At 42.5% G+C, this 15,338-nt stretch overlaps 1 protein-coding gene across 1 annotated transcript in view; it reads right to left on the reverse strand.

The window, feature by feature from the left end:
• KCNJ6 (potassium inwardly rectifying channel subfamily J member 6) overlaps positions 1 to 15,338 on the reverse strand; it is a 309,085-nt gene that overhangs the window by 228,010 nt on the left and 65,737 nt on the right. The window contains exon 2 of the mRNA NM_002240.5: positions 5,276 to 5,327. Coding sequence (NP_002231.1) covers positions 5,276 to 5,300 — 25 coding nt within the window. The 5' untranslated portion in view covers positions 5,301 to 5,327. The remainder of the gene's footprint in view (positions 1 to 5,275; positions 5,328 to 15,338) is intronic.

Here is a 15,338-nt window from a genome sequence, read left to right on the forward strand (position 1 = left end):
CAGATATCTGATTACAATTTAAATATCAATGAAACCATGTGGCAAGACTTCCTGCGCTGTATTTGATGCATTCCCAGGACCTCCAAGGTTGGAGGGCAGTGATGTGTCAGCAGACAATGACCATGAAGAAAATTACCTTTGGAAATTTATGTAAGAACAGCCTGCAAAGTATTCCATGCAGACCATGATTCAGAGCTTTCGGGCTATTTGCCTGCCTCTGGACATCTCCAATTTGTCATCATCTGAGAGGCCAGGACAGAGTCTACTAGGCTGTGTCACCTCTGATGATGGCACGGTTTGGGTCACTGCATGCCTGTCTTTAGACAATATTGGGAGCCTCCACTAGAATCAGGCTTTCAGTTTCATTTCAGTCAGTGGGTGTAGTGGTAAAGTGCTGGTTACCAGCGAGCAAGCTGAGAGTCACCCTAACCCTAACCCTAACCCTAACCCTAACCCTCCAGTGTGGGCTTTCTGGTTGCCTCATTTGGAATGGGCTTCTGGTAGTCTAAGTATGAAAATATCCACTGTGAAGATGCAAATAGAGATTAACATTTCAAAGGGTAGTGTTAAAAAATTGGCAGCCCACTTTTTGATGCGATCTATCCATCTGACAAAGGGCTAATATCCAGAATCTACAAATAACTTAAACAAAATTTACACGAAAAAAACAAACAACCCCATCAAAAAGTGGGTGAAGGATATGAACAGGCACTTGTCAAAAGAAGACATTTATGCAGCCAACAAACATATGAAAAAATGCTCATCATCACTGGTCATTAGAGAAATGCAAATCAAAACCACAATGAGATACCATCTCAAGCCAGTTAGAATGGTGATCATTAAAAAGTCAGGAAACAACAGATGCTAGAGAGGATGTGGAGAAGTAGGAACATTTTACACTGTTGGTGGGAGTGTAAATTAGTTCAGCCATAGTGGAATACAGTGTGGCGATTCCTCAAGGATCTAGAACCAGAAATACCATTTGACCCAGCAATCCCATTACTGGGTATATACCCAAAGGATTATAAATCATTCTACTATAAAGCCACATGCACACACGTGTTTATTGTGGCACTGTTCACAATAGCAAAGACTTGGAACCAACCCAAATGCCCATCAATGATAGACTGGATAAAGAAAATGTGGCACATATACACCATGGAATACCATGCAGCCATAAAAAAGGATGAGTTCACGTCCTTTGCAGGGACATGGATGAAGCTGGAAACTATCATTCTCAGCAAACTAACACGAGAACGGGAAACCAAACACTGCATGTTCTCACTCATAGGTGGAAGTTGAACAATGAGAACACATGGGCACAGGGAGGGGAACATAACATACCAGGGCCTGTCAGGGGTTGGGGGGCCAGAGGAGGGATAACATTAGGAGAAATACCTAATGTAGATGATGGGTTGATGGGTGCAGCAAACCACCATGGCATGTGTATACCTCTGTAACAAATCTGCCCGTTCTGCACATGTATCCCAGAACTTAAAGTATTATATATAAAAAAAGATTTAAAAAAATTGGCAGCCTTTGGAAGGTTGAAAGTTCACAGGCTGTGAACTGCCACACTTAGTTTGCTAATTTTTAGACCCCATGGACCCTCTCTTTGTTAAATCTCTCCCTACCTCCTCTCCCTCTTTGCCTACCTGTCTTGTCTTTGCTCCTTGTAATTCTGTCTCGGTCCTCCTCAATACCCCCTTCTCTTGGGCTTTCATCATATACCGTACATATATTTTCTCTATGCTTTGTGCGTGTTTTTGTTGTTTCTCTATCTCTTCTTCCACATCTACTTTTCTTCCCTTCTCCATTTTTTTTCTTATCCTTATCATGCCCGTCCTCGTTTCAATAATGTGACGTAAAATATTTTAAAGTATTTTTAATGTATTAAAGTTGCTGTAATTTTTTTCACAGCAAAGTCGTCAGAAAAATAAAGGTGGTTTTATTCAAACATTTAAAATTTGCTAATGTTAATCAAACATTTAAAATCTATCTCTTGCTTGCCCTTAAAAAAATGATCGAAGTTGACTTTTTGGAGGTGGTTGATGAATGGCACGTAGCGGAAAGAAATGCACCTCTTCCCTGCTCTAGAAGAAGACATTCCTTTCCCATTATGGTATTTGCTTAGCCATTGATGTGGCTAGCCATTTGCTAGCATGTGGACACCTAGGGTGATGGGAGAAGAATCTCTATCCAGTTCTAGTTAAACATAGAGATGTTCTAGTAACCAGATGGTTTTTGCTTGGCAGTTTAACAAGCAAAGTGTTTATTGGCTTTGGAAACCCATTCATAGCATTGTGTTTTGGGTATTCATGGTTCTGTCTGTTTTTTTTTTTTTCTTCCAGAGTGTGGCCATGGTTTATGTTCCCATCAATTTTATTGTGTGGTAATTATATGTTAATTCTTTGCTCAGCCTACTGATAGAATATCCTTACCTAATTATGTATTTCATTGTAGATTTCTATGTAAAATAAGTGTGTGGTATATTTAATTAGTCATGAGTTTAATTTAAATGAAATGTTTGGTATGTTGACCACATGATTAGCATTTTGTAGCATCTATAGAAGTTGCCTCACATCTTATATATTTTATAATTTGCTGTATCTTTGTAAGGACCAATAAACTCGGACATTGGGTACGACTCTAAGGTCTGTTCTCAACTTTTAAATTTCCTTATGCATTGAGAAACATTTATGCAATCTTTTTCATAATGACAGAGCACATTAGAAGAATGGGTGCACCCAGTCATTGACCCAAGGATTCGGAATTCAACTTTGATAGAATTCTCTTATGACAGTTGATTCACAGACCAAAATCATTAGAGATATTGTTCAGCCAAACCTGAAACCTAAAACCAATAAATCGATAGTCAGGTGAAGAGCTCTTATTTAAATGTATCTGGAAACCAATATAGATGGAAAAATAAAAATAGCTTTATCAGAAATATTAATCAGTACGGTACCCTTCCAATTCAGTCAGGTGAGTTAAAAATAATATTCACTGAACCAGAGTATCCATTTCCAACAGAAGGAAGCCTTGGGAAAACTGTTAGCATCATAACTTATGTGCAACACCATCTGATGTAATTCACCCAGACACCTGAGACTCCATTCATGGACAATGATGCTTAGGTTCTAAGCCACTGATCCTCCTGTCATTTAGAGAACGTGGCGAATTTGGACTTAAAGATTAGAAAGAAATCTGCTCATGTGCTGTGGATTGTGAATTAGTTGATAAGGCCCACGGATCCACTGCATATTTGGACAATACAGGCTGGTCCATTTTGTGATGGCACTGGCCACATTCTTTCATTCCAGGTCTGAGAAGAGCACATTTCATCACTTTAGGATGCTTTCACTTACAGAGAACCAGTGATATGATTTGGCTCTGTGTCCCCATGCAAATCTCATATTGAATTGTAACCCCCAATGTTGGAGGTGGGGCCTGGTGAGAGATGATTTGATCACGGGGGCGGATTTCCCCTTCAGTGCTGCTCTAGTGATACTGAGTAAGTGCTCGAGAGATCCAGTTGTTTAAAAGTGTATGGAACCCCCTCCCCCTACTTCCTCCTGTTCTGGCCATGTGACATGCCTGCTCCTTTTTTGCCCTTCACCATGATTGTAAGTTTCCTGGGGCCTCCCCAGAAGCTGATTAGATGCCAGCACCATGCTTCCTGTACAGCCTGTGGAACTGTGGAGCTAATGAAACCTCTTTTCTTTATCAATTACCCAGTCTCGGGTAATTCTTTATAGCAGTGCAAGAATGGACTAATACAACCAGTTTGGGGTTTTTCAAACCAAGTTGTAAATTCTTTTAACATTTTCAGTTTGCAAGACTACAGGTGGAAAAAAAGGACGGAGCAGAGAGCAGGGCAGGAGATGATACAGAAATAAGAGCAGGGGAGAGGGGTGTCAGTGCTGAAGGGATTTTTTTCTTTACCCAGTCCTTTCATCACAGTGAAATTAGCATGTGTTCAAGACTTATGTAAAATTACACAGAGGTTTGGGGTCAGGAATGAAAGGAAATCAATGTAAATAACTTTTTAACGTTATATTTTCTTGGTATGGGTGGATATTTTGGAATAAAGATTCACTTACCATGCTACAGAGGAAGACCTGTATTTAATAGTCTCATGATTAGAGGAGGAGGAAGGTGCACAGTTAAATGTGGGCAACATTAATGGTTAATTTTTGCAGGCCAAATTTAATAAGGTGTTCATGGAGAAGTGTTCGTAAGCCTCCATTGTAACTTTCCATATGAAATCTATCATCAGGAGAAATTTCCATTTTTCAAAGGAAAAAAATATGCCTTGTATTTCATATTCATATGGTCTTTAATAATTAGATTTCATCATAGAAAACTGCATTTCTCATTTGAAGAAGGCTTTATTCTAATAAATTCCACTTTCCTTTTTTATTTTTATCTTTTATTTTGAGACCAGGTCTTGCTCTGCTGCCCAGACTAGAGTACACTTGGCTCACTTCAACCTCCACCTCCCAGGTTCAAGTGATTCTCCTGCCTCAGCTTCCGAATAGCCATAATAGGGATTGCAGGCATGCACCACCATGCTCAGCTTATTTTTGCATTTTTAGTAGAGACAGGGTTTCACCATATTAGCCAAGCCGATCTTGAACTCCTGACCTCAAGTGATCTGCCCGCCTCAGCCTCCCAAAGTGCTGGGATTACAGGCATGAGCCACTGTGCCCAGCCCCCTTTCCTCTTAAAAATGCTTTGTGTATCCTGTTTATTTAGCTTAAGAGCACTATAACGCTATGTTCAAAACCTAAATCATTACAAGCTATTTATACTGCAAGCACTCCATTTTTTAATAGTTCTGTCTGAAATTTCTGAACGACACCTGAAAGGTTTAACAATGATTTACCATTCTTTCCTCTCTTTAGATCATCCAGCCCGTGGAATAGATGCCCAGAAAAAACTTCAGCTGACTTTGACTAAACCTCCTAAAAGTCAGGTTGAAATTATTGTGAGTCCCAATCCCCAATGCAGTGTTACAAACAAAATCTATTTTTATTCTTCAGCTCCATACTGTGGGTAACAGCTTCAGCAAAGAATTTGACCTCAAGCAAGATGAACTCCAAATAACGCATAAAGTAACATCAACATGATGCAGTGTGTGTGAAACAGATCTCGGTCCCGTAAGAGCAAAAGAGAAGGACAAATCAGATCATCACACGGGATGTCTTTTTTGTGCGATTTTGCATTTTCCCATTCAAAACAAAAAATAAATAATAAATTTGAAGCTACTCACTCATGGATTCTGTCAGCTTGGCCATTGTTGCAGTTTCTTCTTTGTGCTTTTCCTGGAGGTGAGAAGAAAAGACAATTATCTGTAAAACATGTCTTAGATATGAATTGATCTAATTGCCATTTACAGCTATATCTCTCTTCCTTCTTTTTCCTAGGTCAGAATTTGGTTTCCAATAATTAAATGAATAAAAAACCCACATGACAGTTATATTATCAGTCAGTCACTGAAAAGAGATTTTTAGGGCATTAAAAAGCTTCCCATTGCTCTTGGAAATGAGCATCTGTCACACTGATCTTGGATATATATAATTGGTGACGCACGACCAGTTTTCAAAACCTCTTTGACACTGGATTTTTGACATCCATATGCCAATTTTTTTTTCCTCTCTGTTTCCCCCCATTGAAGCTTTCTTGGTATTTTTGGAGTTGATATTTTTGTAGTCATTTGGTTTCCTCTTTCCAAAAAACTAAATAGATTTTATACATATTTCTTTGTCTTAGTTTTTTGGGTTCCTGGAGCCTTTAAAAAGTCATAGGTTTTGATGGGTTTATAACCTTATCTACTTTGGGCTAAAAACATTTTGTTTTAACCGAGATATAGGTTATAACCCACTGAGTTTGAAAGCCAGAATAATACATACAGAAATTGAATCTGTCCTAATTAAAAAATGACTTTGGAGCTATTAAGAATACTGGTCATCTCTACTGAAAAGTTCTCTTTAACTTTTCCACAGTTCTTTGGGTTTAATTTCTTTGTGTTCCTAACATATGTAGTAACTGCAACATTGCCCACTATTATTATACTTTTTTTGTAGCCTTGTTTTTCTGTGAAACTAAAATATGTTCATTATTTAAAAACTTCAGAAAAAACCTGAAAATTATAAATCTAATGTCACCCCCAGAGGAAATCATGGTTACATTTTGGTGACTGCTTTCTAGGCCTATTTCTTTACCTGTGCATATTTACAGATATGGGAATATGATCCTATCTTCATAGAGATAAATATGTCATATACACATTTTGTGTTGAAGCAACTTTTTCACTTAACATCATATCATGTATCTTTCTATGCCAATAAAGGTAGAATATGTCATCATTTTTTAATGACTGCATAGTATTCATCATGGATTATATCATCATTTCCTTTACCAGATCCCATTTAATTTACTTAGAATTTTTTACTACTTCATAAAACACTGGGATGAGCATCTTGGAACTTATATGGTTGTGCACTTGTCCTGTGCAAGTTATTTTCTGAGGATAAATCCTAAGGTGAGGTATGGCTTGGTCAAAAAGTCTAAATACTAAAAATTCTGACATATAGTGCTCAATTGTCCCCCACAAAGGTTGTACCTGACAGTGTATAAAAGTGTTCAGTTCCTTACATTCTTGCCAGCTTGCCAGTGGCACTAGCACTTTTGACTCCTAACCTTTGCTAAATCAACAGGCAGACAACATTATCTTGTTATTTTACACTGTTGTCTTTCTCTGACCTTTTGTTTACGGACAACTGTAGTGTTCTTTCCCATGTCATCGTTATGAAGTTTACTCATGGTTTCACATTGTTGTGTTCCAGCCCCTCTGCCATCGACATTTTCGTGCTTGGAAGCCCAGGGTGGTATTTGCTTTTCCCCACGGCCCTGGTACAATGCTGAGTACAGTCTAGCAGTTTGGCTAACACTTGAAATGATGTCATGGCTTGGGTGTTGTAGTAAGGATAGAAAGATCATTATTCATCCTCCTTATGACACTGTTCTCAAACTGGAAGGGTATGCTTTGATTGAATGGCAACAAACAACTTCGCACATGGCAAGTATTCTTGATTTCCACAGCCCTGTATTCATGACAACGAAATCAGCACGCTGCCTCTTACTTAAACTAATAATTGCCCTTGAGAACAGAAGGAGCTAAGGAGCTGTAATCTACCAACCTGCTTGCTGTGGAATTTCACCCGTGATATTTAGCCTACCACTTGGGTTATGTCAACATGCAGAGAAACAGCATGGCGTGGGCCAGTAGAGAGGCTAAGTGTCACGTCACAGAGCTGAATAAGACAGGCAGAGAGGAGCCTCTTACCACAATGCCGGTTCATGTGAGTGTGCACAGCGGCTGCTCAACAGCTGACCCCAGCGGGTTGTGACAATTCAGGCCTAAAAGCTGTTCCATGGCAGGGACTCAGTGAAGTTGGTCCCAGAGCTTGTTCTGTCTCTGCGTGTCCTGTCAGTGACTCTCAGCTTCCCCTCATAGCCCAGCTCTGCTGTGTCAGTCCGTCTAGCTGTACTAGCTCTCCTTGTGTCCTGGTCTGTGACTTGACTTCCCCATTTTCTGGGTCTGTGCTCCATCAGGCCTCACTCTGGATCACAGACCTCTTCAGCTTGACCCTCCTCTGATGGCATCAGCAGTGAGAACCCCCCAACGCCAAACCATAGGCGTCCAGATTCCAGGCATTACATTTCTAACAAGCCCTGTTTAGTGTGTCTGTTTTCTTGAGTGTGTGTGTCACCACTTTATCTCTTGTGACCTAAGGACCCTGCCACATTCTGGACCCCATTCTTGCTGGTGGGTGGTCCTTGCAGCTATTTTTGTTCAGATGTGCTGGATATCTTAGTCCTAGAGATGTCAAATACTGCCTGGACCAGCAATTTCCTCTTCCCTGTAGTTAAATGGAATCCTCTGACATTAAGTGGGGAGAGGCTCCTAAAATCCTAAATATAGCTCTCCCAGACTGACTCATCTATATCATAACTTATGGTGGAAATCATGACATATGTTTTGGTGTAAGTGGTTTAGTTATTCTATTGGATGTCTCTAAACTCCTTATGTCCTTCCCTCATTATCAGAAAGTTGATGTTTGCAGTTACACGACATGTATATCCAATAAAGCATTTACATTTCATTCTTGGTCCCAAGCAAATTCTCCTTATTTTAAAGCCAAGAGTTTCCTTCACAGCAAATTTCCTGGTTGTTGGATTTACATTACTGGGAAGAGCTTTAGAATTACAGCATATTAAAATTGGAAGTGATTCTTTCAGAGATTGTCAAGTCCAATGCCATAGTGATGCAGTTGATGAAACTGAAGCCCAGGGAAGAGTGTGATGTGCCAGGAAAGGATTTAGAGGGAGCTGATCTCTTTCCCTTATCCACAACCTCTGCTCTCCCAGAAATCTTAAGGCCCATCAAACCTAAGCCCATTTAGCCAAGATCCCTTATACAGCAGTCCCAGTGCAGTGTTGAAGTTTCCTAGATTTGCCATTTCTATGTTCTTTCTTCGAGTATTCTCATTCACAACAATGTCCCTAATTTCCATGAATGGCTGGCAATGCCCAGATTTGCATATCCTGCCTGACCTCTCCATGGAACCCCTGCTGTCCACCTCTTCTTCCTTCCTCACCCCCTGATATTTTGCATTTTTTTTTTTTTGAGATGGAGTCTTGCTCTGTTGCCAGGCTGGAGTACAGTGGCATGATCTCCGCTCACTACAACCTCCGCCTCCCGGGTTCAAGCAATTTTCCTGCCTTAGCCTCCCAAGCAGCTGGGATTACAGGTGCACACCAAAACGCCCAGCTAATTTTTGTGTTTTTTAGTAGAGATGGGGTTTCACCACGTTGGCCAGGCTGGTCTTGATCTGTTGACCTCGTGATCCGCCCACCTTATCCTCCCAAAATGCTGGGATTACAGGCTGAGCCACCGTGCCCGGCCTACTTTGCATATTTTAAAGTTGGTCTTCCCTCGCTGCACTCTACTTAGGAGACTATTAACATTGCCTCCACCTGCTTGGAGCCTCAGCTACAACCCTGAAGGTTTATCATGAAATAGCTCTGGGGGATCTATCTAAAACCTGACATGGCCTCTCCCTGCTTGAAATCCATCAGTTCTTTAGCAAGTGAGAATGCAGTCCTTGCTTTGAGCCAGGGCCCCTGGACCGATGGTTCTTTCTTCTCCACTCATACCTTAGGTCCAGCTCCCTGCAATCCGTGACCATTTTCTACCTCCTTGCCTTGGCAAGCACTATTCCCTCTGCCTAGACACTCCAAGTTCCACTTCATTCTTGTCCTCTCCAAATTCATCCCTAAAAACTCTGCTGGGCACCAACCAGTCTCTGCTGGCTCCCCTGCTCTTTCTGACCATTTTCCTGAGTTTTATCTTTAGGTTTGTTTGTGCACAAATGCATCCATGTGTCACACTGTATAATTTGTTATGGCATTGAGGGACTCTGGAAGCTCTGGAAAATTCCAAAGCCCCATCTCAATAGCCTCATCTGGAGGTCATGGCTGGGAGGTAGTGTGTGGTAGACCAGAAGCCCTGACCACTAAACCTCCCTAGGAACCTGGACAAGTCATTTTACTTTTGGAGCTACTGTTTCCTGGTGTGCTCATTTCAGAAGTGGTCCGCTGCTTGCTGTTTTCTGCCCCGTCCCCCATCCCTTACTCCCGCGGAAGTCAGCAACATGAAGAGGATACCTGAACATGCTTTGATAGACTGTGATTATTGGTGGTATTTTAAGGTGAAAAAGACAGATATATTTGTTTCATGAACTTGTGTTAAAAATGTCTTTCCCTGGGGGAGCCAAGGGTTTTTATATCAGAGGTAATCATCTCATGTTCTTTTAAAATGAAAAGAAAATCAGAAAAGCAGGAATCATACTTGTTGGGAGAAAAGAACTTACTTTGGCCTGAAAATTTTTTGTTCTTGCTTATTGTGTCTATCCCACTTGGATGTTCGTAGAGAGAGTGGCGGGGAGAGAGAGAAAGAGAGCACATGTATAAGAGTTTGGAAGCCTGGGTCTAGAAAGGTTTTTGTCATGGTTTTACCACTTCTTATTCACTCATTAACTAATCTTGGAAGCTCTAATTTTCTCATCTGTGAAGTGGGGATAGGTGGAATTTGCACTGCCTGATTCACAGGACTGTTTGAGGAACAAATGAGACAATGTATATAAATACAGTCAAGTGTAATGTCCATGTGTGGGTTTGTAATCATTATTCCGTTTGGCTACTGTGTGGGGACCCAGAGTTAGAACCTGTTCTTGCTATTTGAGGACAAATATTGACCTCTAGCATTTGTGCCAAAAATAACAAAGCAAATTTCCCTGAAATTAGCCAGACCCATGGCTGCCAGCCCCTCAGGGAACTACTCGTCAACAGCTGGTGACTATGCAACCCACACCTGTATTTCCACACCCCTGCTCCAGAATATAAGGTCTGCAGAACCTAGGCACACTGCTTGGAAGAGCTATGCTATTTTGCTCTAGGAGGCACTCCACTTAAAGTCGTATTGTTGTACATTTAATAAAAGGCATTCATAGACACATCAAACGTTTGGGGTAATCATGATGATATATTTGAGTAAAACATGTTCACAGATGCTGAAAAAAAAACAACGTTAAGTGTCTTGTTTAAATCATAAACTCCTCGGGTAGAGCATTGACTTTCAGGGGCAATGGGCATTTAATTTTCTGTCTGAACTTTATTCCCTCTTCCACACCTGGGGAAGTAAATAAAGGCTCAGCAACTTGCTTGTGGGGGTGTGTGTGTAATTTATACTCCCACATCTGTTTCAGCTAAAGAGAGTATGGCTTTCTACTGAGTCCATGCCAGCTACATACTTCTCTTTGAGTGTCTAAAATGACAGAGGTGTTTTTAATGAGGGCAATTATAACAGTCTGACTTTAGCTCAGAGCTAAGGCTGAGACACTCTGTGTGTGTGTGTGTGTGTGTGTGTGTGTGTGTGTGTGTGTGTGTGTGTGTGAGGGAGAGAGGAGGATGGGGAAGAGGAGATTGATTCATGAATGCAGAGTATCTAGAAAGGGTAGAAAGGGTTTTTTTCTGCTGCATGGGGCTCCCTCAGACAGAGGACAGGAGCTGGCAGAACCCAGTGAGGTCTGCATTTTCGGTGGTGCTGCCTTGCTTTCTGCTACCCAGAAGTAGGCTTTTAAGGATGAGGGGGAAACTCATCATGGTTGATATATTTCAAACCGGTTATATTTGCATCTCAGATATTTTTATCTCTCTAAAATGTGTGCTTGTATTCATCAGAAAACTGTGATTTTTTTCCCAAAATACAACCATTTAAAGAAACATTTATGCAAAGTAGGAAACGATAAAGCCATTTTATGAACTTAGTATCCTCAACAGGGCCTCACCTCTGGTTAAACCAGGAGCCCTCAAATCTCCCGCCCTGTTCTTCAGGTTCTCAACAAATGCACCAGCCCTGGCCCCTCCTCACCTTCCCCCCTCCTCTTCCCTGACACGGTGCCATGGCAGGTCACCTGAGGACTGATTTAAATGGAAAATGCCACATCCTCAGATAGCCAAGCAAGTGAGTGTTCTCTTAGTACAGCATCATTTATGTTGCCTTGAGTTGCTGCCGAAAAATATAGGCCACAGCATTTAAGAATCACTAATTAGTTTTTTGCCTAATGAAAAACAAATGGAAATGAGTAGTCGGTATGCAAGTATGGTTTGGGGCAATATAAATATAAAATACATAAAAATATAATATGAAAATATATAAAAATAGTAACTCCTAATGTTTACTTCACATTTATTATAGCCTGTCACTGCATTAGTACATTAGACTATCTCCTTAATTCTCACAAGGACCCTGTGAAATGGTACTGTCTTCTCTACTTTGAGGATGGGGAAACTGAGGCACAGAGAGGTTCAGCAGATCATGCCAGATCACACGGCTGGTGAGGAGTAGAGTTGAGCATGAAACCCAACAAGTCTTCTTTCTGCACCTGCACTCTCTCAGCCACGGTGCCACCTGCAACCCTAGGAACTGGTGAGAAGTCCTAGAAATGAAGGCCGTTCATGCTGAAGGCAGCAGTGAGAATCCAGGTCTAAGATCCTTCTTCAATCATCCGATGCTGAAAATTTATTGATGTGCACAAGATGGACACTGGATAGAAGAGGACATCCAGGTAAAGCCAGCTTTACACCTGCCTTCAGAGAGCTTCCAGTTTGGTCCAGAAGGCAAGATGTGTAGAGAAATAGCTGCAATATGTGGTATCAAGGGTAAAACACCAGAAGGGTTCTACAGGACATCGATAGAAAGAGGAACAGAGGGAGCAAAGAGAAAGGGAGAGACAGAGAGAGAGAGGGAGAGAGAGAGGAGAGAAGGGAGGGGGAGAAGGAGGGGGAGAAACAGAATAGAGACAGAGAATGAGACTGGAGAAAATGTAGTTCTAACTCACAGAACCAGGGTGTGCCTCACGGAGGAAGCAGCTTCAAGGTGTGAAGGAGGGGAAGAAGAGTGATGGGAGAGGGGAGGGCAAGGAAGAATACTCCAGATGGAGAAATGGCATGAGGAAAGGTGGGGAAGCTTGGTGCGTGAGGAGCAGCAGGTCACAGGGGGACCAAGGCTTGGTGTGAGAAGAAGAGCAGGAGGCTGGCATGGACAATGAGGACATAAGCCCTGGAGGTCCCTGGAGGCCAGACAGCTGCTCAGGAGGGAGGCCAGGGCTGGAGTTGTGGCAAACCAGTGGGAGGAGGAAGGTGCCTGTGTGAAGACCGTGGCAACCCACGCTGGTGAGCCAAGGAAGATGGTGGGAGATGTGGAGGCAAAACCCAATGAGTGTGCTCTCCTGTGAGCCCGGGGACTAGCAGATTTGAAGAGTAAAGAACTTGCCTATCAGGATGGGGTACCATTTTTTTAGAGTAAAGTTAGTTTTCACCACTGATATACTCAGTTAAAGTTTCTAAAATAATCTGAAATTTTCACAATTTGGGGTAAAAACATCTGTGGGGTGTGCTCGAAGGAGGTGACATTTTTGCTAGGCAGGCCATGTAGGATGCTTTAGGTGAGAAAGCCCTCTTTGCAATAAGGCTCAGAGCCTTAGCCTCACCAGATAGCCTTTCTAAGGTCCCTATGTACAGGTCACCCTGACTGGTTCCTTATGCTGCCACCATTGTGGTCTTGTTGACCAGACCAGGGAGGGTCCTAATACACTGAGTTATGAGGATATCTCACAAAGATAAATCAGATTCAAAGTTAAGTTTGTACTAACATTGCCTCAATTCCTTTGGGCTTCAGCGTGAGTTCGTAGATGGCAGGAGAGTATTTGGAGCATTGCTCTGGGTACTTTCTTGAAAGCATGTTGAGCACGTGACCTTCTAAGAGTGATGGGTAGCAGAGATAAGAGTAAGAAAACAGTTGGACCACATGGCTGCCAGAGTTTCTCCAAACCCAGCTGTGTGTGTGTCCTCCCTGGCTTGAAATACTGTGGGACAAGCTCTTGACTTTCAGCGTCAATATCCAGACAATGTTTCACGAATTTCCCCAGGGGAGTTGGTTTCTTGGAATATTGGTGAGTGACTCATTTCTCCTTTCCTAGAGCTCCTGGAAATATTGTAAAATATAGGACAAGCATTATCACCACAGACCTATCAGGAAATTTTCTTTAAAGAAAATACTATGCGAGACTGCAGGGAGGCACTGAGGATGTCCAGGTAACTGGAGCATACAGAGCCCATGCCCGTGGTGGACAAGCATCTGCAGTCTTTTCCCTGTCAGGTACCTCTGCTTCCAAGATGCACCTATTCTAGGTTTGGTCCCTAGCTTCCCAGGACTCAACCACAGTGCTGAATCTTGGAAACAGGCAGGAATTTCCTGTTGGTCTCATGACTCTCAATCTATGGCCTCTTTTGTGGTTCAGCGTCTCTCTGGGGGCTCTTATACCAGGGTGATCTTCCAGACATCCTAAGCCTTGCGGTGGCCAATGCCTCTCCCACCTGGCTTCATCCAACCCACAGGCATTGCCAAACCATCTCTATTTCCAAGAGGAAAGGGAACAGATGCCATATTAGTTCCTTTCTTTCCCCTTTACTTTTCCAGGTTGCCCACAATCCAAGTTCTAAGCAAACTGAGTCTTCCAACATCCACTCTGCACTCCCAGCTCCCCGCATTCCATGGCTTGCCTGGACCCTTCCCTTCCAGCCATGGTCTCCACCTACCTCTCCAGGCCCATTGCTCATCACTTCTACACTATGCTCCTGCCCGACAAGCCCCTTTGGTCTCTGAACACATTGCATTGCTTCATCCCTCAATTCAGGTTTCACTTCCGTTTGACATTCTCCCTGGCTAACCCATTCTGAGTGCCCATCCCCTCTGCACCTTAGCAACTGTACATACTGTGGATGTAGGACTTGTCATTCTTGGAGCCATGACTTACAAAGTAACAGAGCAAGTCAGAGGAAATAGTCTTGACAACTCCAGGAGCAACTGAAACACTATAAAGGATGAATTCCTCTGTTTCCAAAAAGGGTAAAACGAAATACCAAATCACAACCAAAGAATGCATAGAATGAATGGAATGTCCCTGAACAGCTGTGAGTTTCCTGACATGAGATGCTGACCAGTCATTTGTTCAGAATTTTCCAGAAGAATTTCTGCCCCAGAAAGTAGTGCAATACAATGACCTGTAAGAGCTCTTCTAAAATGGTTTCAGGGATGTAGTGATAGTTCCAGGGAAAGAAATCCCTGATTCCTTTTGTTTTTCTTTGTATGACGTTCTTTCTTTTATTTGATCAGAGGTAGGTTGCGGGGTGCCAGGGGTCAGGTGGGACTGATGATAGGGGCAGGATGGCAGGCCCCAAGGTAAGGCTGGTTAGTTACTCTGACATATAAGGGATACTTAGAACAGGGGTCCCCAAACCCCAGGCCGTGGACCAATACTGGTCCGCGGCCTGTTAGGGACTGGGCCACACAGCATGAGGTGAGCAGTAGGTGAGCATTTCCACCTGAGCTGCACCTCCTGTCAGATCAGCAGTGACATTAGATTCTCACAGGAGTGCGAACCCTATTTGAACTGCCCATGTGAGGGATCTAGGTGGTGCACGCCTCATGAGAATCTATTGCCTGATGATGTGAGGTGGAACAGTTTCACTCTGAAACCATCCCCACCCCCTCCTCCTGCCCCTGGTCCGTGGAAAAATTGTCTTCCATGAAACTGGTCCCTCATGCCAAAAAGGTTGGAGGCTGCTGATTTAGAAAATAATCACCCGGCCCAGCAGCTTGACCCTGTTTTAAGGAGTCACTCAAGCCCAGTGGTGAGTTTGGTATG

Source organism: Homo sapiens, chromosome 21 (assembly GCF_000001405.40).
Source record: "Homo sapiens chromosome 21, GRCh38.p14 Primary Assembly".
Classification (NCBI taxonomy): Eukaryota; Metazoa; Chordata; class Mammalia; order Primates; family Hominidae; genus Homo; species Homo sapiens.